The 25,408-nt window shown below is 39.5% G+C and overlaps 1 pseudogene across 1 annotated transcript in view; it reads right to left on the bottom strand.

Moving 5' to 3' along the window:
* Positions 1-21,714: 21,714 nt before the first annotated feature.
* LOC389765 (kinesin family member 27 pseudogene) overlaps positions 21,715-25,408 on the bottom strand; it is a 36,878-nt pseudogene continuing 33,184 nt past the window's right edge. Inside the window, exons 7-9 of the transcript NR_029410.1 lie at positions 24,332-24,517; positions 23,745-23,844; positions 21,715-21,870 (exon numbers count right to left, since the gene is read on the bottom strand). The product of NR_029410.1 is annotated as a kinesin family member 27 pseudogene (transcript). The remainder of the gene's footprint in view (positions 21,871-23,744; positions 23,845-24,331; positions 24,518-25,408) is intronic.

The raw sequence follows: 25,408 nt of genomic DNA, 5'->3' as shown, positions 1-25,408 counted from the left end.
TCATAAACTTTCCTCTTAACACTGCTTTTACTAACAAAGAAATTCTAGACTTAAATTGAACACTTGACCAATTGGACATAATAGATATCTAGAAAATACTCCACCCATCAACCATAGGATATATATTTTCTTCACATGGGAAATACTCAAAGATTGACCATGTGCTCAGCCATAATGCAAGTCTCAAAAAATTAAAAAAGATCGAAATTGTACCAACCATACTCTTGGACCACAGCGGAAAATAGAAATGCCAAGAAGATCTCTCAAAACCACACAATTACATGGAAATTAAGCAACTTGCTCCTGAATGACTTTTGGGTAAACAATGAAATTAAGGCAGAAATTTAAAAATTATTTGGAATAAATGAAAACAAAGCCACAACATAACAAAATCTCTGGGATGCAGCAAAAGCAATGTTAAGAGGGCTCTGTGGTTTTGACAGTGGCAGCTTCATTGCACAGCTGTAGCTCTTGCAAGATGGCCCATCCTCTCCAGCTCTGCACTATCTGTGCTCCGGTAACACTATTTCCTCCCCTGCATCTTCAGCCTTAGAAATGGTAACAGAGTCCCACTGTTGCAAGCTCTAGGTGGCTCAATGTTCTTTGCTTGGTCCTTTCATGAAGGAACTCTTTAAGTAGTTCCCTCATTAAAGACTTTTCATTTGATATATTTAAGCCTCATGCCTGTAATCCCAGCACTTTGGAGGCCGAGGCAGGTGGATCACCTGAGGTCAGGAGTTCGAGACCAGCCTGGCCAACATGATGAAACCCTACCTTTACTGAAAATAAAAAAAATTAGCCGGGCGTGGTGGCGTGCATCTGTGATCCCAGCTACTCAGGAGGCTGAGGCAGGAGAATCGCTTGCACCCGGGAGGTGGAGGTTGCAGTTAGCTGAGATTGTGCCACTAGACTCCAGCCTGGGCAACAAAGCGAGACCTTGTCTGACCAAAAAAAAAAAAAAAAGAAAAAAGGAAAAAAATAAAAAAAAAGAAATATTTGAGCCTAATTTTATTTATTGCCTGGACCTCAAAAAATACAGCTCACCTTATTTACATTCTATTTTCAACATTAATATTGTCTTTCTTAGTGTATTTTACACTATTCTACTTAAAGATGGAACTGAATTATTTAAGTCAACAAATATTAATTGAGCACTTACTGTGTGCAAGGTACTATGTGACTATTTCAACATAGTGGTTATACGGTGGTAATTGAGACAATAAGGTCTCTGCCCTCATGGGGCATGTTTTAGTCACTTTGGGCTGCTAAAACGAAGTACTATAGACTGTGTGTCCTTGATCAAGCAGCCCTCAGAGTCTAGTGGAGGCAACAGATGTACATAAATGGCCAGCTGAAGACATATCAAGGGAACTGTGTGGTTACAGGCATAATTCTAGGTGCACAAAGACACTTAGTATAGGTCATTCATTCATTCATTCACCATTTACTAAACCTTATACCTTCTACCAGATCTTTAGGAGGAACTATCTCTTTATGATTATTGTGATTCGAGTGCAAAATAATTAATGCATCTCCAAAAGCGAAATCTTCGTACAGCTACCTGCCAATTCTCTACCTTTGCTATAAGCATCTTTTCTGCCTGAGACTCTCCAAAGAGAGCTCCCTATTTGTTTTTTCCATGGCCTCCCACATATATTATCTGAGGGTTATGAAACCTCTCCCTCTAGAGAATGCAAATGATACTCTTACAGATTAACAGAATGTTAGCTCTGAAAGAGATGTTATTGTTTCTCATAAAAGTTAATATTTGTCTTCATATCATGAAAAATGAATAGGGTGGTTTGTGATTAGAAATGGCAGGCTCAGGACCTCCAGCTGCCCTGAGGGCTGAGGGCTCAATACTTCTGCATATCTATAGCCAGAGCAAATACATTACTAACAACTTTTACTGCACAGGCACCTACCAATCAGAATGAGCACAGACACCGATGTCAGACAGGGGCATCCAGATGACTGGCAGCCTACCCATAAGCCATTCCTGTTACATTAATGTTTCTTGGCCCATCTGCTTAAAAATACTACCTTAGAAGCCAATAGACACATGAAAAAATGCTCATCATCACTGGCCATCAGAGAAATGCAAATCAAAACCACAATGAGATACCATCTCATGCCAGTTAGAATGGCAATCATTAAAAAGTCAGGAAACAACAGGTGCTGGAGAGGATGTGGAGAAATAGGAATGCTTTTACACTGTTGGTGGGACTGCAAACTAGTTCAACCATTGTGGAAGACAGTATGGTGATTCCTCAAGGATCTAGAACTAGAAATACCATTTGACCCAGCCATGCCATTACTGAGCATATACCCAAAGGATTATAAATCATCCTGCTATAAAGACACATGCACATGTATGTTTACAGCAGCACTATTCACAATAGCAAGGACTTGGAACCAACCCAAATGTCCATCAATGATAGACTGGATTAAGAAAATGTGGCACATATACACCATGGAATACTATGCAGCCATAAAAAAGGATGAGTTCATGTGGTTTGTAGGGACATGGATGAAGCTAGAAACCATCGTTCTGAGCAAACTATCACAAGGACAGAAAACCAAACACCGCATGTTCTCACTCATAGGTGGGAATCGAACAATGCGAACACTTGGACACAGGGTGGGGAACATCACACACCAGGGCCTGTTGTGGGGTGGGGAGACGGGGGAAGGATAGCATTAGGAGATATACCTAATGTAAATGACGAGTTAACAGGTGCAGCACACCAACATGGCACATGTATACGTATGTAACAAACCTGCACGTTGTGCACATGCACCCTAGAACTTAAAGTATAATAATTATTTAAAAAAAAAAAACTACTACCTTAGAAGGCTGGGCACGGTGGCTCAAACCTGTAATCCCTGCACTTTGGAAGGCTGAGGTGGGCGGATCACCTGAGGTCACGAGTTTGAGACCAGCCTGACCAACATGGAGAAACCCGTCTCTACTAAAAACACAAAATTAGCCAGGCGTGGTGGTGCATGCCTGTAATCCCAGCTCGTCGGGAGGCTGAGGCAGGAGAATGGCTTGAAACCGGGAGGTGGAGGTTGCGGTGAGCTGAGATCGCACCATTGCACTCCAGCCTGAGCAACAAGAGTGAGACTCCATCTCAAAAAACAAACAAACAAACAAAAAAAACTACCTTAGAGATTGTTTAGTCCAGCCCTTCTGTTTATTTTTCAGATCTTTTGTTTTACAAAAGAGAGACCTAAAGTCCTTAGAGGTGACAAGACCTACCCAAGGGCATATACTGAATCTGGGTTTCTCCCCACTAACTCCATCTAGAGATGGCACCTCTTTATTACTGTAAAGTCCTTCAGAAAGCTCTTTGTCCCAACTCTCTGATCCTTTTTTCATTTTCTTCCTTTTGGCTGCAAAGCCCTCCATTCCATTTATCCACTCCCATTTCCTTCTTCCCTCTTCGTAACTTCCTATTCTTCCTTCAAAGCCCTCAGTTCTAACTAATTAGCATACTGAAGCTGAAGCAGCATATTTTGGGGTGGCACTCGAAAGCCAGAACTGACCTTAGGTTTCTCATTCTAAGAAAATGTATGTAAATTGTTCAGCACAGTTTCAGCAAATGGTAATAAATAATAGCAATTATTATTATTATTGTTCTTTTCAGCTCTGTGACTGTGAATAGGTTACTTAACATCTCTGCATCTAGTTTATTCATATGTAAAATGAGAAACTTCCCCAGGGTCTTGCCCACAATGCTGACAGGCTCTATGAGGGTCGTCCAGCAGTCACGTAGGGAATTGGTGGGGGATGCTCTCACAGTGGTCAATTAAACCATGGAGGGTAGAATTTGAGAGTTGTTGGGAATGATGTGCTAAGCCAATGCAGGGAGAGGAGTGCTTAGGGAGGAATGCAAAAGACAGACTAGAGGCTGGGTGCGGTGGCTCACGCCTGTAATCCCAGCACTTTGGGAGGCCCAGGTGGGTGTATCATGAGATCAGGAGTTTGAGACCAGCCTGGCCAAGATGGTGAAACCTCATCTCTACTAAAAATACAAAAATTAGCTGAGCGTGGTTGAGGGCGCCTGTAATCCCAGCTACTCGGGAGGCTGAGGCAGGAGAATCACTTGAACCTGGGAGGCGGAGATTGCAGTGAGCCAAGATCGTGCCACTGCACTCTAGCCTGGGCGACAGAGCAAGACTCCAAAAAAGAAAAAAAAGAGACTAGATTGTGTCTGTGCAATAAGGATGTGAAGTAGACAGGCAGTGGGAAGCTGGGGAGGCAGGGATACAGGCGGCAGCAGTGAAGTGAACCCAGAGTTACATGCAGAAACACAGGGTCCAGGGCACAGCATTCTTTTGAGTTTCAGGAAGCTTACTCAGGATGGGCTTAGGTGCTGCAGCAAGGGAATTATGATAAATCTCCCAAAATTAATTTGGTTTGGAGCTAAGGATAGCTAGCCAGCCTCAAGGTTTCACATGCCCTTTTCCTGCAGCCCTTTGCTAATCAAATTAAAGCCTTCCTGGCAATAAGGGAGTTTTCTGGAGAGCTAACTGGAAGAGTCAATTCCACACATATGATTTGGCTTTCCACTTGCTTCAGGCTGCATGCCTCAGGTCAAATTTCTTTTTCATTTTGCTACTATCACCTTTCATCTTCCTGTAATCATTGGTGACACCTGATCCAATTACATGCCGGTGACTTTCCAGGAGTGCTAGGTTGACTAATACTCATGATTGCTGCTAATTCATAGAAGAAAGGGCTCTGTACTGGGCTGGTAGGTTTTCACAGTGGTGTCATCCACTTTTCAGTTTCAGCTGCCATACCAATAGAAATGAAAGCACTTTAGTTAGAAAAGAGAACACTATGCTTTATTTTCCAGAATCATGTATGTGCTAGAACGAAAGCCAGCAGTAGGAAAAAAGTCACAGAATTAAAATCTGTCTTCCACTCCCTCACCTCCCATTACTGCTTCTGTTACTTTCAAAGCTTGTTGCCTCTCTGTGCCTCATTCAGCCCAGAGTCTGAACACATCATTCTTTCAAACTCTAAACCATTCCTTCATGATAATCTCTCCTTTGTGGCTTATTTCTTTTTCATTGAATCCACAAATACCTGAAAATTGTATTTCTAGCTGCAAAGGTATTTCCCTCATAGGTTAAATATTTCACAGCTATAAAGTCTCCCAGAGAATTGTAATTTACCTCAAACAAGAGACTGCTAGGCTGAGAATTTTAGGCAACTTGATATAACTGTAGTGAAGATATTTTGGGAGGCAGTTAAGGTTTTTTTGTTTTGTTTTGTTTTTTAAAGCATATCAGTCACTAGTGCTAGCTAGCATTGCCTAGAAGATAAGCAGAAATATTTTACAGTGTCTGTGATTCTGCACAAAATGTTAATTGATCTTACACAACTCTTTACAAAACTGAACCAGGAGCTACTTTATTATGGAAAACAGAAATTGTCATCTAGGTCTTCAGTATAAACTAAGGCACTGAATGAAAAACAGTAAAACTAGACTAACCCAATTATTTGTCCAGGTCCAATTCTTCCAGAGCCATGTGAACAAAACATTTATTAAAAATTGTCAGCCAGGCATGGTGGCTCACACCTGTAATCCTAGCACTTTGGGAGAGTCGAGGTGGGCAGATCACCTGAGGTCAGGAGTTTGAGACCAGCCTGGCCAACACAGTGAAACCCCCGTCTCTACTAAAAATACAAAAATTAGCCGGGCATGGTGGTGTGTGCTTGTAATCCCAGCTACCTGGGAGGCTGAGGCAGGAGAATTGTTGGAACCTGAGAGGCGGAGGCTGCAGTGAGCCAAGATCGCCCCTCTTGCCTGGGAGACAGAGCGAGACTCTGTCTCAAAAAAAAAAAAAAAAAAAAAAAAATGCCCATCTGGCCTCCAGGAAGAAACAGCAGCATGATTCATAAGGGAAGAAAAGACATTTAGGTATGAAATAATCACAAGGCCGAAGGGATGTCTAAAATTTGTCAGAAATCGCTGCTGTCAATAAATAATGGGGCTTTTGTTATCTGGCTGCTCTCTGAGCAAAGCCAGTAACAATTAACACATGACAAGTCGATTTGCCTTTTACAGAAACCATCCAGAGATGGTTTGTAGGTATGTGATTGTTAGAGTTTCAGGAAACTCCTACATCCTATAAAGTTGATCCAGATTTATTACTGAGGCAAGAACATCCCCAAAGAAAGCTATAGCCTAATAAGCTATGTTATAACCCAAGTGTATGAAGAAATAAAGAAGAAACAGCAGGTTGGGTTCTGTGTGGAGCACACATATAATAGAATTAGTTAGCGGTTTTCTGCCAGTGCGTGCCAAAAGTCAGCTAGTAGAGGTTTACAAGAACTAACATTTGGGAATTTTGCAAGCTGTTGTTAAATTCTGCTGATAGACCACTGTGGGAGTGTCTACACCACAGAAAATGCCAAATTGCTGTAGACCAGGGATTTTTGGGTTATTTTGTTTGTTTTCAGCAAGCTGGTTTACTAGCCCACTATTGTTTAGCACTGTTGAAGGCAGAGTGATTCTTTCTGTCAGGAATGTATATTCCTATCTCTCAGAGAGGCATGTACTATTGTGGAACTAGAAAAACTCATCAGACATTTCCCAGAATCTGGATTTAGTATTCCTCTAATTTTGTTTGCTTCAGGTCTATGCTCACCAAACAATCTTCTGCTTATCCATTTGGTACCATCAAATGAGTTGGTGTTAAACTGCATTCTTTGAAGTCTTGGGGATTCTGAGGAGCCCTCTTAGGGAACATCTTGGGGAAGGGAAAGAAAGGGGAACTTGAGGCTGGGCAGGTCTGTTGTCTGTCTTCAATCAGAGCAGCTTTGTTTTCTGTTATGTATTGGTTGTCCATAAAAACAAAACAAAACACAGTTGCTTGAAGAAAGCATACCGCTGCTAAATAAATAAAGCAATAGCAAATAACTTTTGAAGATGGGCCAGAGCTGTTTGTTCACCAGAAAAGCACATCCCTTTTTTTAATACGTTATTAATCTGGGTATAATTCAGCCATTCATGAGTTCAGTTAACATCAATTAGTTTTCAATCAACTGATAATGTTTGGATGCACCTACTGAAAAAACCCAAATTTATTGTCTAACCATATTGAAGACAAGAAGAATTGCTCATCTGGGATTTTTTTTTGTTTTTTTTTCGAGACGGAGTTTCGCTCTTGTTGTCCAGGCTGGAGTGCAATGGCACTATCTCGGCTCACTGCAACCTCCGCCTCCCAGGTTCAAGCAATTCTCCTGCCTCAGCCTCCCGAGTAGCTGGGATTACAGGCATGCACCACCACGCCCGGCTAATTTTTTGTATTTTTTTTAGTAGAGACAGGGTTTCTCCATGTTGAGGCTGGTCTCGAACTCCTGACCTCAGATGATCGGCCCGCCTTAGCCTCCCAAAGTGCTGGGATTACAGGCGTGAGCCACCGCGCCTGGCCTCATCTGGGATTTTTATCAGTGTAATCAGCAAGCCAAACTGTCTGGTAGCTTTTTTTTTTTTTTTTTGAGACAGAGTCTCACTCTGTCGCCCAGGCTGGAGAGCAGTGGCGTGATCTCAGCTCACTGCATGCTCCGCCTCCTGGGTTCACGCCATTCTCCCACTTCAGTCTCCTGAGTAGCTGGGATTACAGGCGTCCACCGCCACACCTGGCTAATTTTGTTTTTGTATTTTTAGTAGAGACAGGGTTTCACCGTGTTAGCCAGGATGGTCTCGATCTCCTGACTTCGTGATCCGCCTGCATCAGCCTCCCAAAGTGCTGCGATTACAGGCATGAGCCACCGTGCTCGGCCAGCTCTCTCTTAAATGTAGCAGCTGGAAACATTCTTTTTGCTACAAGGAAATGGGAAAATAAATCAATCGGGATAGCTGGGCTCAAGTCATGGGAAGATTTCATCTTTTAAACTGGCTTTCCTTCTAATTACAAAAGTGATCTATGTTCCTTATAAAAATGTAGAAAAAAAAGTAAAAGGGAGAAAATAAAAAATCACTTAGCCACATTCAGAGATAGTTATTATTTTTGGTATATAAGCTAGCTGTTTATACAAATATATATATTCATACATATACATATGACTTTTTTTTTTTTTTTGAGACAAAGTTTCGCTCTTGTTGCCCAGGCTGGAGTGCAATGGCACGATCTCGGCTCACTGCAACCTCCACCTCTGGGGTTCAAGCGATTCTACTGCCTCAGCCTACCGAGTAGATGGGGTTACAGGCGCCTGCCACCATGCCCAGCTAATTTTTTTGTATTTTTAGTAGAGATGAGGTTTCACCATGTCGGCCAGGCTGGTCTTGAACTCCTGACCTCAGGTGATCCACCCGCCTTGGCTTCCCAAAGTGCTGGGATTACAGGCATGAGCCACTGTGCCTGGCCTACACATGACTTTCAAAAGGAATTTCTGTTTTTAATTTGAGTGCACAATGTAATGCCACTCTTGACTGGTTTTTAACAGTTTCCTCATCTATATACATGTGTATTAGTCCATTCTCACACTATAAAGATACTACCAGAGACTGGGTAATTTAGAAAGGAAAGAGGTTTAATTGATTCACAGTTCTGCATGGCTGGGAGATCTCAGGAAACTTACAATCATGGCAGAAGATGAAGGGGAAGCAAGGCACATCTTACATGATGGCGTGAAAGAGAAAAGAGAGAGAGCGCAGGAAAAAACTCCCACTTATAAAAACCATCAGATCTCCTGAAAACTCACTCACTATCACAAGAACACTATGGGGGAAACCACCCCCATGATCCAAGCACCTCCCAGCAGGTCCCTCACTTGACATGTGGGGATTACAGGGGTTACAATTGGAGATGAGATTTGGGTGGGGACACAGCCAAACCATATGAAATGACTGTGGGTTAATCTATACATGAAAAGCTTTTTCCCTATATAAAATGCTGAATAAAAGCTAAACCACGGCCGGGCACGGTGGCTCACTCCTGTAATCCCAGCACTTTGGGAGGCCGAGGCGGGCGTATCACCTGAGGTTGGGAGTTCAAGACCAGCCAGCCAAACGTGGAGAAACCCCGTCTCTACTAAAAACACAAAAAAATTAGCCGGGCATGGTGGCCCATGCTTGTAATCCCAGCTACTCAGGAGGCTGAGGCAGGAGAATTGCTTAAACCCGGGAGGCTGTGATTGCAGTGAGCCGAGATCGCGCCATTGCACTCCAGCCTGGGCAACAAGAGCGAAACTCCCTCAAAAGAAAAAAAAAAGCTAAACCAAAAGCCACAAATTTAAAAATAATCAAGTAAATTAAAAAAAAAAATCAAGCAGGTACTATGTACACGACATAATCTAAAGTCATGATATAGTATTCAATAAACATAAGTCTCCCTCTCACCTCCACCAGATAGCCTCGCAGTTCTCTCCAGAGGCAACCATTATTATCGGTTCCTTATTTAGCTTTCAGTGATATTCTGTGCATATCCAAGCATGTATATGAATTGCAATGATTAATAAGATTTCTGGTTTATATGTAGAAGTAGAACCCAAATATTTTTTTCCTTTCTTATTTATTTTTGGTTGAGACAGGGTCTCATTCCACTGTCCAGGTTGGAGTGCAGTGGTGATCATAGCTCACTGCAGCCTCAAACTCCTGGGCTCAAGGGATCCTCCTGCCTAAGCTTCCTGAGTAGCTGGGACTACAGGTGTGTGCCACCATACCCAGCTATTTTTTAAAAAATTTGTGTAGAGACAGGGTATTGCTATGTTGCCTAGGCTGGTCTCAGACTCCTGGACTCAAGGGATCATCCTGCCTTAGCCTCCAAAGTGCTACGATTACAGGCGTGAGCCACTGAGCCCAGTCACATTTTCTCTTTCTGCCTCCCTCCCTCCCTTTTTTTTTCTCTTTCTTTGTCTTTCTCTCCCTCCTCCTCCCGTCCCTTCCCCGCCCCCTGCTTCCTCCCTCCCTCCCTTTCCTTCCTTCCTTTTCATTTCAGTAGGTTTTTGGGGAACGCGTGATGTTTGGTTACTGGATAAGTTCTTTTGTGGTGATTTATGAGATTTTGGTGCACCCATCATCACCCTAGCAGTGTATGCTGTACCCACTTATAAGTGAGAACATATGATGTTTGGTTTTCCACTCCTGAGTTACTTCACTTAGAATAATAGTCTCCAATTGCATCCAGGTTGCTGCTTATGGCTGAGTAGTATTCCACGGTATATATATACCACACTTCCTTTATCCACTCATTGGTTGATGGGCATTTGGACTGGTTCCATATTTTTGCAATTATGAATTGTGCTGCTATAAACATGCAAGTGTAATGTGTTAAGTGTCTTTTTCATATAATAACTTATTTTCCTCTGGTAGATATCCAGTAGTGAGACTGCTGGATCAAACGGTATATCTACTTTTAGTTATTTAAGGAATCTCCATACTCTTTTCCATAGTGATTATACTAGGTTACATTGCCAACAACAGTGTAAAAGTGTTCCCTTTTTACCACATCCATGCCAACATCTATTATTTTTTGATTTTTTAAATTACAGCCATTCTTGCAGGAGTAAGGTGATATTACATTGTGGTTTTGATCTGCATTTCCCTGATAATTAGCAATATTGAGCATTTTTCCATGTTTGTCACTTGTATATCTTCTTTTGAGAATTGTCTATTCATGTCCTTCGCCCATTTTTTGATGCAATTATTTGTTTTTTTCTTACTGATTTGTTTGAGTTCTTTGTAGATTCTAGATATTAGTCTTTTGTTGGAGGTATAGATTGTGAAGATTTTCTCCCGCTCTGGGTTGTCTGTTCACTCTGCTGATTTTTTTTTTTTTTTTTTTAATGAGATGGAGTCTCGCTCTGTCGCCCAGGCTGGAGTGCAGTGGCGTGGTCTCCGCTCACTGCAAGCTCCACTTCCTGGGTTCACGCCATTCTCCTGCCTCAGCCTCCTGAGTAGCTGGGACTACAGGCGCCTGCCAACATGCCCAGCTAATTTTTTGTACTTTTAGTAGAGACGGGGTTTCACCATGTTAGCCAGGATGGTCTCAATCTCCTGGCCTCGTGATCCGCTTGCCTCAGCCTCCCAAAGTGCTGGGATTACAGGCATCAGCCACCACGCCCAGCCTGATTATTTCTTTCTCTGTGCAGAAGCTTTTCGGTGTAATTAAGTCCCATCTATTTATTTTTGTTTGTTTTTTATTGCATTTGCTTTCGGGTTCTTGTAATGAAAGTTTTTGCCTAAGTCAATGTCTAAAAGAATTTTTCCAATGTTATCTTCTGGAATTTTTATGGTTTCAGATCTTAGATTTAAGTCTTTGATCCATCTTGAGTTGATTTTTGCATAACAGGAGAGATGAGGATCCAGTTTCATTCTCCTACACGTGGCTTGCCAATTATCCCAGCACCATTTGTTGAACAGGTTGTCCTTTCCCCTACTTTATGTTTTCATATGCTTTGTCGAAGATCAGTTGGCTGTAAGTATTTGGCTTTATTTCTGGGTTCTCTATTCTGTTCCATTAGTCTATGTTCCTATTTTCATACCAATATTATGCTGTTTTGGTGACTATAGCCTTGTAGTATGGTTTGAATTTGGGTAATGTGATGCCACTTGGATAAATTCTTTAGGATAAATTCCTGTAAGTGAATCAAAGGGTATGCCAAATTTTAAAGCTTTAGATTTGGCAGGAATATTTAAGTTCCACTTCATAAACAAAGAATGTGAGGGTGGCCAGGAACAATGGCTCACACCTGTAATCCCAGCACTTTGGTAGGCTAAGGTGGGTGGATCACCTGAGGTCAGCAGTTCGAGACCAGCCTGGCCAACATGGTGAAACCCCATCTATGTTAAAAATACAAAATTAGCTGGACATGGTGGTGCATGCCCGTAATCCCAGCTACTTGGGAAGCTGAGGCAGGATAATCGCTTGAACCTGGGAGGTGGAGGTTGCAGTAAGCCGAGATTGCACCATTGCACTGCAGCCTGGGCAACAAGAGCAAAACTCCATCACACACACACACACACACACACACACACACAGAATGTGAGTGAGGGTGTAGTGGTTTATATGTATGGATCTTTAAACACTTATTTATTCTACATAACTGCAACTTTGTACCATTTGACCAACATCTCCCCGTTTCCCCTATCAGCATTTCCCTATTTCCCACTCTGACTGATTTTTGATAAGGGTGCCAAGTCCATTCAATGGAGGAAAGAACAGTCTCTTCAACAGATGCTACTGGTACAACTGGAGTTCCACATGCAAAAGAATAAATCTGGACCACTACTTCACACCATATATAAAAACTGACCCCAAATGGACCAATGACCTAAATATAAAAGCAAAAACCATAAAACTCTTAGCAGAAAACATCAATCTTCATGACCTTGGATTTAGGCAATGGATCTTAGACATGACACCAAAAAGCACAAGCAACAAAAGAAAAAAATAAATTGGACTTCAACAAAACTAAAAATTTCTGCATATCAAAGGATATTATCAAAGTATAAAGAAAACCTACAGAATAGGAAAAAGTATTTGGAAATCATGTATCTGATAGAATTTAATGTCAGAATATATAAAGAACTCATACAACTCAACAACAAAGACAAAGAACCAAATTAAAATGTGGACAAAGAACCTGAATAGACATTTCTCCAAAGAAGATTTATGAACAGCCAATAAGCACATGAAAAGATGCTCAACATCATTAGTCATTAGGGAAATGCAAACCAAAACCACAATGAGATACAACTTCATCCATCCTGGCTAACACAGTGAAAACCTGTCTCTACTAAAAATACAAAAAATTAGCCGGGCGTGGTGGCGGGTGCCTGTAGTCCCAGCTACTCGGGAAGCTGAGGCAGGAGAATGGTGTGAACCTGGAAGGCGGAGCTTTCAGTGAGCCGAGATCATGCCACTGCACTCCAGCCTGGGCAACAGACACTCTGTCTCAAAAAAAAAAAAAAAAAAAAAAAAAAAAAAGAGATACAACTTCATACCTACTCGGATGACTATAATAAAAAAAAAGGAAAGAAACAGGTGTTGACAAAAGTGTGGAGAAATTAGAACATTCACACATTGCTGGTGGAAATGTAAAATGATGCTGCTGCTATGGAGAACAGTGGTTTCTCAGAAAGCTAAGCACAGATTTACCATATAACCCAGAAATTCTACTCCTAGGTACATACTCCTAGGTACATACCCAAAGGAATTGAAAACAGAGACTTATTTGTATGCCAGTGTTCACTGCAGCATTATTCACAATAGCCAAATGCTAGAAACAACTCAAGTGTCCATTGATGGATGAATGGATAAAGAACTGTGGCATATCCATACAATGGAATATTACTTGGCAATAAAAGGGAATGAAGTTCTTGTACATGCTGCAATGTAGACAAACCTTGAAAATATTATGCTAAATGAAATAAGGCTGACACAGAAGGTAAAATATTGTATAATTCTACTTATATGAAGTATCTAGAATAAGCAAATTCATAGAGAAAGTAGATTAGAGATTACCAAGAGCTGGGGGAAGGGGAAAATGAGGAGCTATTCCATAATATTACAGTGTGTCTGTCTGGAGTGATGAAAATGTTTTGGAAATAGATAGTGGTGATGGTTGCACAAGATTGTGAATGTAATTAATGCCACTGAATTATACACTTAAAAAACAGTTAAAATGGGTTGGGCACGGTGGCTCACACCTGTAATCCCAGCACTTTGGGAGGCTGAGGCGGGCAGATCACCTGAGGTCGGGAGTTCAAGACCAGCCTGACCAACATGGAGAAACCCCATCTCTACTAAAAATACAAAATTAGCCGGGCGTGGTGGTGCACGCCTGTAATCCCAGCTACTCAGGAGGCTGAGGCAGGAGAATCACTTGAACCCAGGAGGCGGAGGTTGCGTTGAGCCGAGATCACACCATTGCACTCCAGCCTGGGCAACAAGAGTGAAACTCCATCTCAAAAAAAAAAAAAAGGAAAAAAAGTTAAAATGGTAAATTTTATGTTATATATATTTTACCACAACTTAAAAATTAATAATAAATAATGAGTAACTTGGTTTAATTGCTCTTTAAGTTCCCTTCCATTGCTGAATTCTGTGATTTTTTTTTTAAGGTCGGAAAATAGGTTATATCCATTGTTGAAAATCTAGGAAATCTGGGGCATACTGATAACAGGAGAGGCTAAACATGTGCAGGGACAGGGAGTATATGGCATATCTCTGCACCTTCCTTTCAATTTTGCTGTGAACCTAAAACGGCTCTAAAAAAATAAAATCTTAATTTTTAAAATATCTAGGAAATCTCCAATTATGTCCCATGCCTTGGGTTCAGCTTAACATTTCAACGGAACAGAGCCTGGCACATAGTACTAGATAAGCGTCTGTTATTATGATCATCATCATCTTTTTCAAAAAAGCCCTGTGGGACAAGTAGGATTAAGGCCATTTTAGATGAGAATAAACAGACTCAGAGAGGGTAAAATTTTTGAGAAATTTGAGAAAATTTATTTTCTCAATAAATCTCTCAGCCAGCAACTGAGTGAGCTAGGATTTGAACCGATGATAGCCTGGTCAAAGAGCCTAGGCTGACACCACTAAGTTCTTCCCCAGCCCAATCTATTCTAGAACTGCTGTGCATACAGGTCTGATCATTTTTCTGCTCACTGTGAATGAAATGGTACCACTTTACCTGGTACTTTTTCCGTGTAGCCACATGGACAATGCATGTCAAAGCACTTTGAAAACAGAAAATCCTATTCAAATGATAGGTATTATTTAGAAAGCTGGCTTTATAAATGCATGTTTTTGGCAGCTTCAATTAAAGTTAGGATCCTCCTAAGAGAAATTATCATTGTACCTTCTTTTGTGAAGTCAAAGCCTTCAAGACAGTACTCAAAATTCAATAAATAGGTTTTACTATGTAGATGAACAAAGCTTTAAAGTGAATAAGGACAGCAGTGAAGGGCAAGTCAAGGATAGATACTTCACAAGCCAACTGAATGAAGACCATGGATTCGTTAGCTCTGAGCCGTTTAACATTTCATATTATACTTAGCAGGAATGTATGACAATATTACTTTGATTTTTTGCTGGTCCCGCTTAATTACTGCATCCAGTTGCTTCCTTTTTTCATTTTCTTCTTGTAGTTTTCTTTGTAGCTGTATCTTTTGATATTTCATGTGATCTACACTCTGCTCTAGTTCATTAGCACGTTTCTCATTTTGGATTGACAGTGATGCCAGTTTCTTACTATCTTGTTGCTTCTTCTGTAAGACCTGAGATCATATGGAATATTTCAAAATGAAAAACTGAATCTCTCACAATCCTCAACTAAACTTAATCTTTTCATTTGATGGTAAAAGAAGAAATTTTCCCTAGATTTTCATTTATTTTTGACAGGTTCACAAACAATTGCTTACTATCATACATTTCCATTTTTGCAATTAGGGAAACCATCATAATTTGCATCACATATGTAAAAGTATAAAGAATCATGAGACTTCCTGATGTGGACAACAAAATGAAACAGATGATTTGCTTTTCATTAATAAGTATTTTAATTTAAAAAATAGTTAAAACAGTATAAAGCTGAATTTATATTTTAAGAGTCACTCTTATCATATACCCCAATCTACCTGTCCTGCTTCCCAACACAAAATTATCAATTTCTTAAATATTCTTCCAGAAAAAAATGTATGCATATGCATGCAAACAGCTGCATATGTATTCTATATAGACTACTGTCTCCCTTTTTTCCTACTTATCTCAGAGGTCTTTTCATATAGATTTGTTCCAGGTGGCTGCACAGCATTCTACTGTGCTCTTGTTTTTATAGCTACAGCTATAGCCTAAATCGTTAATCCCTGAGTTAGGATGATCAGAGCTGATAACATCTTCCCTGAGAGTGACCAACCATTATAATTACTATTTTAACATTTATCTTAAATTCCTTCTCATCTAACTAAAATTACGTACAGATAGCATTAGACTTTCAAAGTGTTCACACCACTAATATAAAATACTTGTGTTACAATTTAGTCCTGACCAAACAAACATATATTAAACTTGTATAATGTGATTAGCATTGCACTAAGTACCAATTAGGTGGCATAAAAAAGGTAAAGGGATGTCATTCATAAATTAGGCAGACCACAATTATTTCCTTTATTTTGGCAATAAAGTGTTAGCATAGGCAAGTTTTGTTTTAATTAAACTAAGTATCCAAGAGGCACTGCTGCTTAGAGCAGTGCTACTCAAAATGTGATCTGTGGACCAGTGCTAGTTCACAGACATTGTTGTCAATTTGCACTCCTCAGCATACTGTTAGATTCGGTTGACGTTTTCATGCGAGACTTTTTTGATCAAGGAAGCTGTGCAATGACTGACCTTTATCTCATCACAGAACAAGAACAATCGGCAGATGGACTACTTTGGGTACCACTGGCTTGGAGGCCACAGGCCTTTGCCGTTTCCAGTACCTAAATTTGGACACTGGCTTTGCCACTTACAATTGACAGTAATTACAATACTGCAGCAAAAATGCTAATACCAGCATTTTAGTGTCTTTTTCACATAATATTAAAAATATCAGTGTACATCCTAAAAGTCTTAAGAGTGAGATACTGTTGCCATTGTCTTTTGCACTTATTTCATAGTTGCTCAAAAGTGCATCTGTCAGCATTAAACTATTAATGAAGCATGTAACGCTCTACATATACTTAAAGACATTAAAAATATAGGTTTTAGAAGTTTTTAATTTAAAAATGTTTTGTTTTAAAAATTGAAATAACTGTTTTATACCAATAATAATACTAGTATTTCAATATTTTAAAACAGCATGATATGGCTGGGTGTGGTGACTCACACCTGTAATCCCAGCACTTTCTGAGGCTGAGACGGGTGGATCACTTGAGGTCAGGAGTTTGAGACCAGCCTGGCCAATGTGGTGAAACTGCGTCTGTACTAAAAATACAAAAATTTGCGGGTGTGGTGGCAGGCACCTGTAATCCCAGATATTTGAGAGCCTGAGGCAAGAGGATCATTTGAGCCTGGGAGGAGGCAACTGCAGTGGGCTGAGATCATGCCACTGCACTCCAGCCTGGGCAACAGAGCAAGACTTCACCTCAAAAAAAAAGTATGATATGTTAGAGAACTGAAAACCGGTATTGTCATCACCACTCTGGGACTCTGACTGAGTTATTTTACCTTTCTAAACCTTTCTTTCCACATTTGTAAAATGGCTAAAAATGCCCACTTCAAAGGATTAAATAATGCGTATAAACCATTTGGTATGCATAGGCCCTCAACAAATGGTAACTACTGTCCTCCTCATCCTCCTTATCATCCTTATCTCCATGAGTAGCGCATGGATATGTCAAAGGTACAAAATTTCTAAAACTATGTCTTCTTTCTGTCCTCTGCTGTATCAGATGTTTCTTTTGAGGTAAAGTTCTACACCTTTCATTTTCTTTCCTTATCAGTACTCTTAGCAGAAAAGGATATACAGCAGGAAGCAAAGCATGGAAAGGTGAATTCCAAAGTGGAAATAACTATGCTGAAGGAAAATGGAAGGTGTAACATAGATAACCACCCTATGTCCTCCTTTAAGCAGTTCAAACATTCAAGCCATATTATTTTAACTTGATGTTGACTTGAGAAGCTATTTAGGTAACAACTTTTAGTGGAAATATCCAGATGTTTGAGGTGGCATCAGAAACCCCAGGAGGGACTTTTCTGGCCTGTCACACCAGAATATACTGGTATATTACAATATACCGGGCACACCAGAGGTATATTGTAAACATCTATTTTGTTGAAAGCAAATAACTGTGGCATAGTTCAATAATAATAATAATAATGCTGTGAATAGGTTAATTACAACTCTACCTATAATGGAAAAATATAAAAATGCTTCTATAACATGAAAGAAAACAGTAGACCATGAGAGATAAAGAAATAGAGGACACATCCTAGAAAGCTCATTATGATCAGACTAACAAAGCACTGTGACTATCTCCAAAGCACCTGGAAATGGCTTCATCACACAAAATCTCTATGTGATGGAATATTTCTCATAGAATAGAATTTTTAACTGTAGCTATTTCTAAAGTTAAAGCTAAAACCAGGCATTAGGAAGTTAAGGATGAATTGCAGTACACAAAGTTATTAACCTTTCTTAAGCCAATCAGTTATGGTTTGGGAAAACCATATCTCGAAATAGTTCCCATTTGTTGAGTGTCTACAAAGTGTCATATATGTACCAGCTGTTTTATTTGTATTATTTAACCATTATTTAATCCTTTGTCCTTCAGAAAAAAACACTGTTTTGTGGTTATGTTTATTTCTTACCATGTGGTTTTTTGATATGATTGAAAGAATATACTTCTCGAATTAAGAAATATACTACCCAGATTGTAAAATATGTAAATCGACCAGCACACTACAAAAGAAAAGTTAACACCCAGTTTCTCTTGCTGGTATAAACTGAATCCCACTTCTTTCCTAACTCAGTACAAGAATCCTCAGAAGCAAGAAAGCTTATATAAGTTTTCTCAATTACATTTTTAAAATTACCTGAACTCTCAGCTTTGCAGCATCCACCTTTTTACGAAACTCTTTCTGTAATTTTACCTTCATTGCAACATCAGAAAGATCTTTGTTTTCCAGCTCCTGTAGCTGCTTTTGTGTTTCAGTTAGTTCGACTTTTGCCTGTTCTGCATCATGCTCTAGCTTTGTTACTTTCAAAGTATACTGCTTGCTTACAGACTTGGCATCGTTACCTTAACCGTAATAATAATTACTATTAGTATAAATTATGTAAAAAGAAGTTAAACATCAAAAACATAAAAATACTCTACTCTAAAATCCAGCCAGGCAGTGATACTATTTAAGGCATAGCATTAAAAACCCAGTTGTCCCCACCCACCCCCATCAAACACAGCTTGCCATCAGGCCTCTTAATAATTAGTTCCTTAATGACTGTTCCCATCTGCTGCCAGTCAGTCTCACTGGTTCAATCTTTGGCATTTTACAGTGACATTTCTGGTCCTCTGAATTTGTAGTTGAGCTTTGCTGGCATCAAACTCAGTTAAGAAGGATATTTGGAGTGACTGTCCTCTTGCTTAGTATACTCCAGCCTCCTGCTACCAATAATCTGTCTGCTTGAATTCCTTTTTCAAATTATTATGAAAATTTTTAAATATAACAAAAGAAATAATAAAATGAACCCCCATCACCCAGATTTAAAAGTTATCAAGATTTTGTCACAGCTGCTTCAAATATGTCTTTTTACTTTGCTTAAATATTGTAAAGCAATCCCAGATGTCACTCATCTCACCTATACATACTTCATTTTGTTAAATTCCTCTTTTTACTTATACATACTGCAATCGGCATTCACACAAAATATGGACATAACCAAAAAGTCATTATCACACTAACAATATTAACACCAATCAGTCCATATTCAGACGTCCCCAACTGCCTCAAAATGTGTCTCACAATTGGTTTATTTAAATCAGGATCTAAACAAGGTCCACAATACATTTGATTTGTTATGTCTCTTAAGAATCTTTTCATCCAAAGCTAACTCTCTCCTTTTTCACTAACCTGAACTTATTCAAGATTAATTCCTTTTAAATTCTTTTCTTATTAATATATAGAACAGAAAAAATAGAATAAAGATATTTCTGTATCTCTTTTGATTCTAAGTCCAGCTAGTGACCCTAAAAGCTTGGTTTTGATTTGCTCTGAATAGGCAACCGTCCCTGAACTAGACTGGCAAACTCGTGGCAGTAGAAAACAGGAGTCTAAGGCTCAGGGGGTGAATAATCACCAGAGACAGTTTATTATACTATTTATTTATTTAGACAGAGTCTCGCTCTGTCACCCAGGCTAGAGTGCAGTGGTACAACGTAAGCTCACTGCCACCTCCGCCTCCTGGGTTCCAGCAATTCTCCTGCCACAGCCTCCTGAGTAGCTGGGATTACAGGCACACGCCACCATGCCCAGCTAATTTTTGTATTTTTAGTAGAGACAGGGTTTCACCATGTTGGCCAGGCTGGTCTCGAACTCCTGACCTCAAATGATCCGCCTGCCTTGGCCTCCCAAAGTGCTGGGATTACAGGCGTGAGCCACCGCGCCCAGCCTATTATACTATTTATATAGCTGGTTATACTGCTATCCAAAAATACTCATCATTTTTTGATAAAAGTTATTTAACTAAATGTAGTGTGAACTGTCCTCTGACTCTAATTTATGATTACTTGACTAACTTTAGAATACATACAACTACTATATTTTAACAAATCATTTTGGACTATTCATTAATTGTTCAATACACCAATATTTTATGAACCAGTAAAAAAATATACAGTGCCAATAACAACATGTTTATTTTATTTTTTTGAGACAGTCTTGCTCTGTCACCTAGGCTGGAATGCAGTGGTGCAATCATGACTCACTGCAGCCTTGGCCTCTGGGGCTCAACCAATCCTCCTACCTCAGCCTTCCAAGTAGCTGGGACTACAGGCATGTGCCACCATGCCCAGTACGCATCAGTAGTTTTTATAAATTTTTTTGCAGTGTATTAGAATTGATAGAACATAGTATAGATGTCCTGTAATTATTAGTTGGCAGAAGTAGCTGCTATTCAAGAGAAGTCTTCAGTGAGACCGCATTAAGGGCATTAAGTTTTTGTGGGGTTTTTTTGACATTTTTTAAAAAGCATCCTCTGCTTAGCTACTTTCCCAAAGCTTTTTCCTTTCTCATTCTATGCATCAACCTAGCTCCAGTTACCCAGATGTTTAAATGAGTTTGACCATGCTGCTTCCCCACAGGCAGGATCAAACACCAGTTGACCCCTCCTAGGAGTATCTAGGAGCTGATCTAGAATGGTTTCTCCATTCCCAAGATTTCAGGGTACTGCCTGTGGAAGTTGAGGATATTTACCCACTAGAATCAACGACTTTCTTTCAGAAAGGTTATCTTACTATGGATCTCATTAAACAAGCATGTGTTTGTAGCCTGGTATACCCAACGTGGTTGTTTTAAAATAGAGGATACCAGAGCTTACACAGAGAAGACCCTTTTCTTGCTCATTAGAACCAACGGCAATTTGGAGCTTTCCTAAAAATCCTCAGAGATGGTGACTATCAAAAGTGTCAATGAGTGCTTACTTTTCAATGCCCTCTCACTGAAGACTTCTCTTGAATAGCAGCTGCTTCTGCCAACTAATAATAACAGGACATCTATACTATATTTTATCAATTCTAATACACTGCAAAAAAAATTTATAAAAACTACAGGTGCGTACTGGGCATGGTGGCACACGCCTGTAGTCCCAGCTACTTGGGAGGCTGAGGTAGGAGGATTGGTTGAGCCCCAGAGGTCAAGGCTGCAGTGAGTCATGACTACACCACTGCACTCCAGCCTGGGTGACACAGTGAGATCCTGTCTCAAAAAAATAAAATAAACATGTTGTAACTGGCACATTAAGTGCCACAGAATTTCAGCACAATGCAGAGTTCACACCGGTTAGAACAATTCAGAGGTGAAATCCCAAAAGAAAAAAATTCTTCTGATAACTAACCTCCACATATTGGCCTAAAAACTCACCTTGTTACACCAATCCAAGCTAAGTGGATAGACCTGAGCTTCAAAAACTAAAGTAACTGTTACCACATCAGAAGCAATTTTAGAAGTTTTCTTTCTCATATAAGCTGGTTCACAAGATACTATTACCTGTTTTTATTAATTCTTTAATCAGATCTTCCTTCATCTTGATGTTAACTGTAAGTTCTCTCATTTTTTGTTTGGCTTCAGTAAGTATGCGTTCTGAATTCTTTAATTTTTGCAAATTCAATTCTTGACTCTCCTGGAGACAATCAATCTTTAAATCTTTAAAAAAAATGGAGAAATAAAACTATCTGCTGGTAAAATATTCAACAGAAGTAGAGTTAAAAAAAGAAAAGCAGACTCAAAAGCAATTTAGAGGTGGCAGTGGAAGAGACAAAAAGGAAGGGGAGGAAAAAGGGGAAAAATACACAGCAACTGGGACTCAAGCATTCCAGCTTACAATAAGAGTTTTTATTTTCTTACAAATTAATACATATATGTATATATTCTTTCTTAATATCCCATAGGTTCAGACACACAGTTTTTCATTGCCTTTAACATGAGTTATTTGAGATAGGTGTAAAATTTCCAGATGGATAGAGGGGTGAATTTGTTTCCTATCAACTTCTACTTTTATTGTAATTGGAGAATGCAGACTATACCAGGCTACTCAGAGTGTGGTCTAGCACTGTTTGTTACTGTCCTGCACCAGAATGTAAATCAACTATGTCACTAAGCACACTGCTTTAGTTCAGGTGACATTTTTTTCATAGCCAGACTTTCTCAAGGAAGGAACTAGTGTAAGCTCATTTACATTCCGACATAAGTTTTTTTCCTGGTTGCAGAGCAGTAACAAACAGCTCAAGCATGGCTGCTTGAGTAGCATTTACCTTTGTTATTTCCACATTTTGAAATTTATTTTAGTTATACTTAAATTTTTGGCTCATAAAGCCACATATAGATTCTTAAAGAGATGCTCTATATTTTCAAAGTGTAGCACTTGTATTATATTCCCTATTCCCTTATTTTTTGTGGGTCAACCACGCATTGACCAAAAGAGATGAGTTAACAAAATCTACTACTACCGGCTGGGCAAAGTGGCTCACGCCTGTAATCCCAGCACTTTGGGAGGCTAAGCTGTGCAGATCACAAGGTCAGAAGTTCGAGACCAGCCTGGCCAACATAGTGAGACCCCCATCTCTACTAAAAATACAAAAATTAGCCGGGTGTGGTGGCACACATCTGTAGTCCCAGCTACTTGGAAGGCTGAGGCAGGAGAATCGCTTGAACCTAGGAGGCGGAGGCTGCAGTGAGCCGACACTGCACCATTGCACTCCCGCCTGGGTGACAGGGAGAGACTTCGTCTAAAAAAAAAAAAAAGTTGTGAAAACTATAGGGTAGTAGGAGTTTTTTTTTTTTTTTTTTTGAGGCAGGGTCTTGCTCTGTCGCCTAGACTAGAGTGCAGTGGTGTGATCTCGGCTCACTACAGCCTCGAACTCCTGGGCTCAAGCGATTCTCCCGCCTCAGCCTTCCTCCTGAGTAGGTACACACCACCATGCTCGGCTAATTTTCTGTAGAGAGACAATCTCACTATGTTGCTCAGGCTGGCCTCAAACTCCTGGCCTCAGGCAATTCTCCCGTTTCAGCCTCTCAAAGCACTGGGATTACAGGCATGAGCTACTATGCGTGGCTCATAAATGTTTTTGATGTTGTTATTGATGCATAAAAATTCTTAGCAGTTGTGTACTAAAACATTACCAACACCCAGTACACTAATTGGGCTCTAATGCCAAATACATCATTGACGTTAGGCACAAGTCCCAGTGAAGGAGTAGACACCTAGTACAATTATTTATACTGTATTTTAACATCATCAGGAATACAAAGCATATCAATTCAGGTCTGAATATAAAAATCCTTATTCTGAGGGAGTTAGCCTATATCTCTAGCCATAATTAATTGATAGAAAATCTTTTTTTATTAAGGAGTAAAAGAGGTAAAACAGAGAACATAAAAGAAGTTCTATCAACTAGGAAACCATTTGTACCAAATTCTGGTCTTTGAGAATTCCTGGATGTTTCTTAAATTATCAACTGAGGAAAAAGATAAGTGTCCTATAACCATTAGGTCTACATTATTTAAGAAGATCTATGTACCTTCATTCTCCGAATCTGACTTTTGTGTTTCATCCTGAGTATCACTCAATTCAACAAGGGAACAGAGTCTGGCTTCTGAATCCATGAACGACTTCTACATCTTAAAAAAAAATCAGAAAGTTAACTTATTTGTTAGTGTTTTCTAATCTGCCCTCAAATTAGTTTCCCCAAAAAGTGACAGTAATGTTAAAAAAATTATTAATTACATATAAAAACAGAATGTTACTAATATTGCTCAAAATAGAAGGATGCCCCCCTCACCCATGTTGAATCCAGCAGAAAAGTCATGTTTGTTGCCAATGTGGCAGCAGAATAAGGAAATCCAAAAAAAAAAAAAAAACCCTCTGAAAATTAGAATCTCATTACTATAAAAGCTCTAAAAGCAAAATTATTTTTCAGTTATAAGACTGATGACTTGTGTTCAAATACTATTTTCATAACACATTAGATGACAGTACATTTAGCAAAAGTTACCTACTCTTCTATTAAACATAAAAGATATACTCCAATGGAAAAAACCTACACTTTTATATTTATTGCAGCATATAATTCTAAATATTTATTAAATCAGTGTATATTTAACATACCTAGTTCCAGATTTCTCTTGGCCTTCTGATTCTTCATCATCACTGTTATCAGAAAATTGGCAGTGGAGGACCTCATCTCGTTCTTCTACGTGATCCAACAGCATCTGACTTTGTGTTCGAAATCCAGCAAATATTCGATCCAGAGAGTACATAGGCGGACTTGTGTGGACCTTGCAAGTGATTCCCCTACCCAACAACAAAAAAAGTGATATTTTAAAAGTCTAATTTTATCCTATTACTCTAAGTGCTTTTAAAGGGGTTATTAGATTGGCACTCTTAAAATAGCCAATCACTGGAAAATGCTCCCCTCAAACAAAGGTCAAAATTAATTTAACAATACTGTTGTGCCTCACAGACAAATACTTCTTTCAGAATCTACACAGCTCCTTCTCTTCTGGACAACTCTTCTATCTTCACTTACGGAAAACAGTATTCAAAAATGAAACCAAAAGAACGCATGGAAAACATCCTAGCTCTTAAACACAACACAGACACACCCCAACAAATGTGCCCTCTTCCCCATCTTCCCAGTTCAGAACACCTGGAGAACTGTGGTGCTGCCGCCAAAGGTCTGCATCCCCTCCAATCCAAATCCTACCACAGGAAGAAACCCAGAGCCGTCTCCACTCCCTCTGCCAGGGCAATATTCCTAATCTGAATACCACAATGTATATACTTATTCTTTATACATGGTAGTTAGGTATAGCTGAATTAAGGCTCTAGGAAAAATATTTAATATATGTCATAGGACAAATAAAATTGTATGGCTAGCCTGGGAATTTTCCACAGTACAACATTCTTCTATTGGAAATGCATTTTAAATTCTCAAAAAAAAAAATGACCTTGGAAAACAACAACAATAAATTAGAAATTGCCTTTATACCTTTGTTCTGGTTTCTATTACAAAATATTTCCTCTGCACCATCTCTGTAACCAAACCTCAAGATGACTTCTCACAACAGGCAATAAAATCTTAGAGGAGACAGTCCATTTATCAATATAAATTATTATAAGCTGTTAAAATTATAACATATAGTGGAATATGAGTATCACACGGTGTTTGGGATTTAATCACTT

The sequence above is a fragment of the Homo sapiens genome, chromosome 9, assembly GCF_000001405.40.
Source record: "Homo sapiens chromosome 9, GRCh38.p14 Primary Assembly".
Taxonomy (NCBI): Eukaryota; Metazoa; Chordata; class Mammalia; order Primates; family Hominidae; genus Homo; species Homo sapiens.
This window is presented reverse-complemented; position numbering and strand designations above follow the sequence as displayed.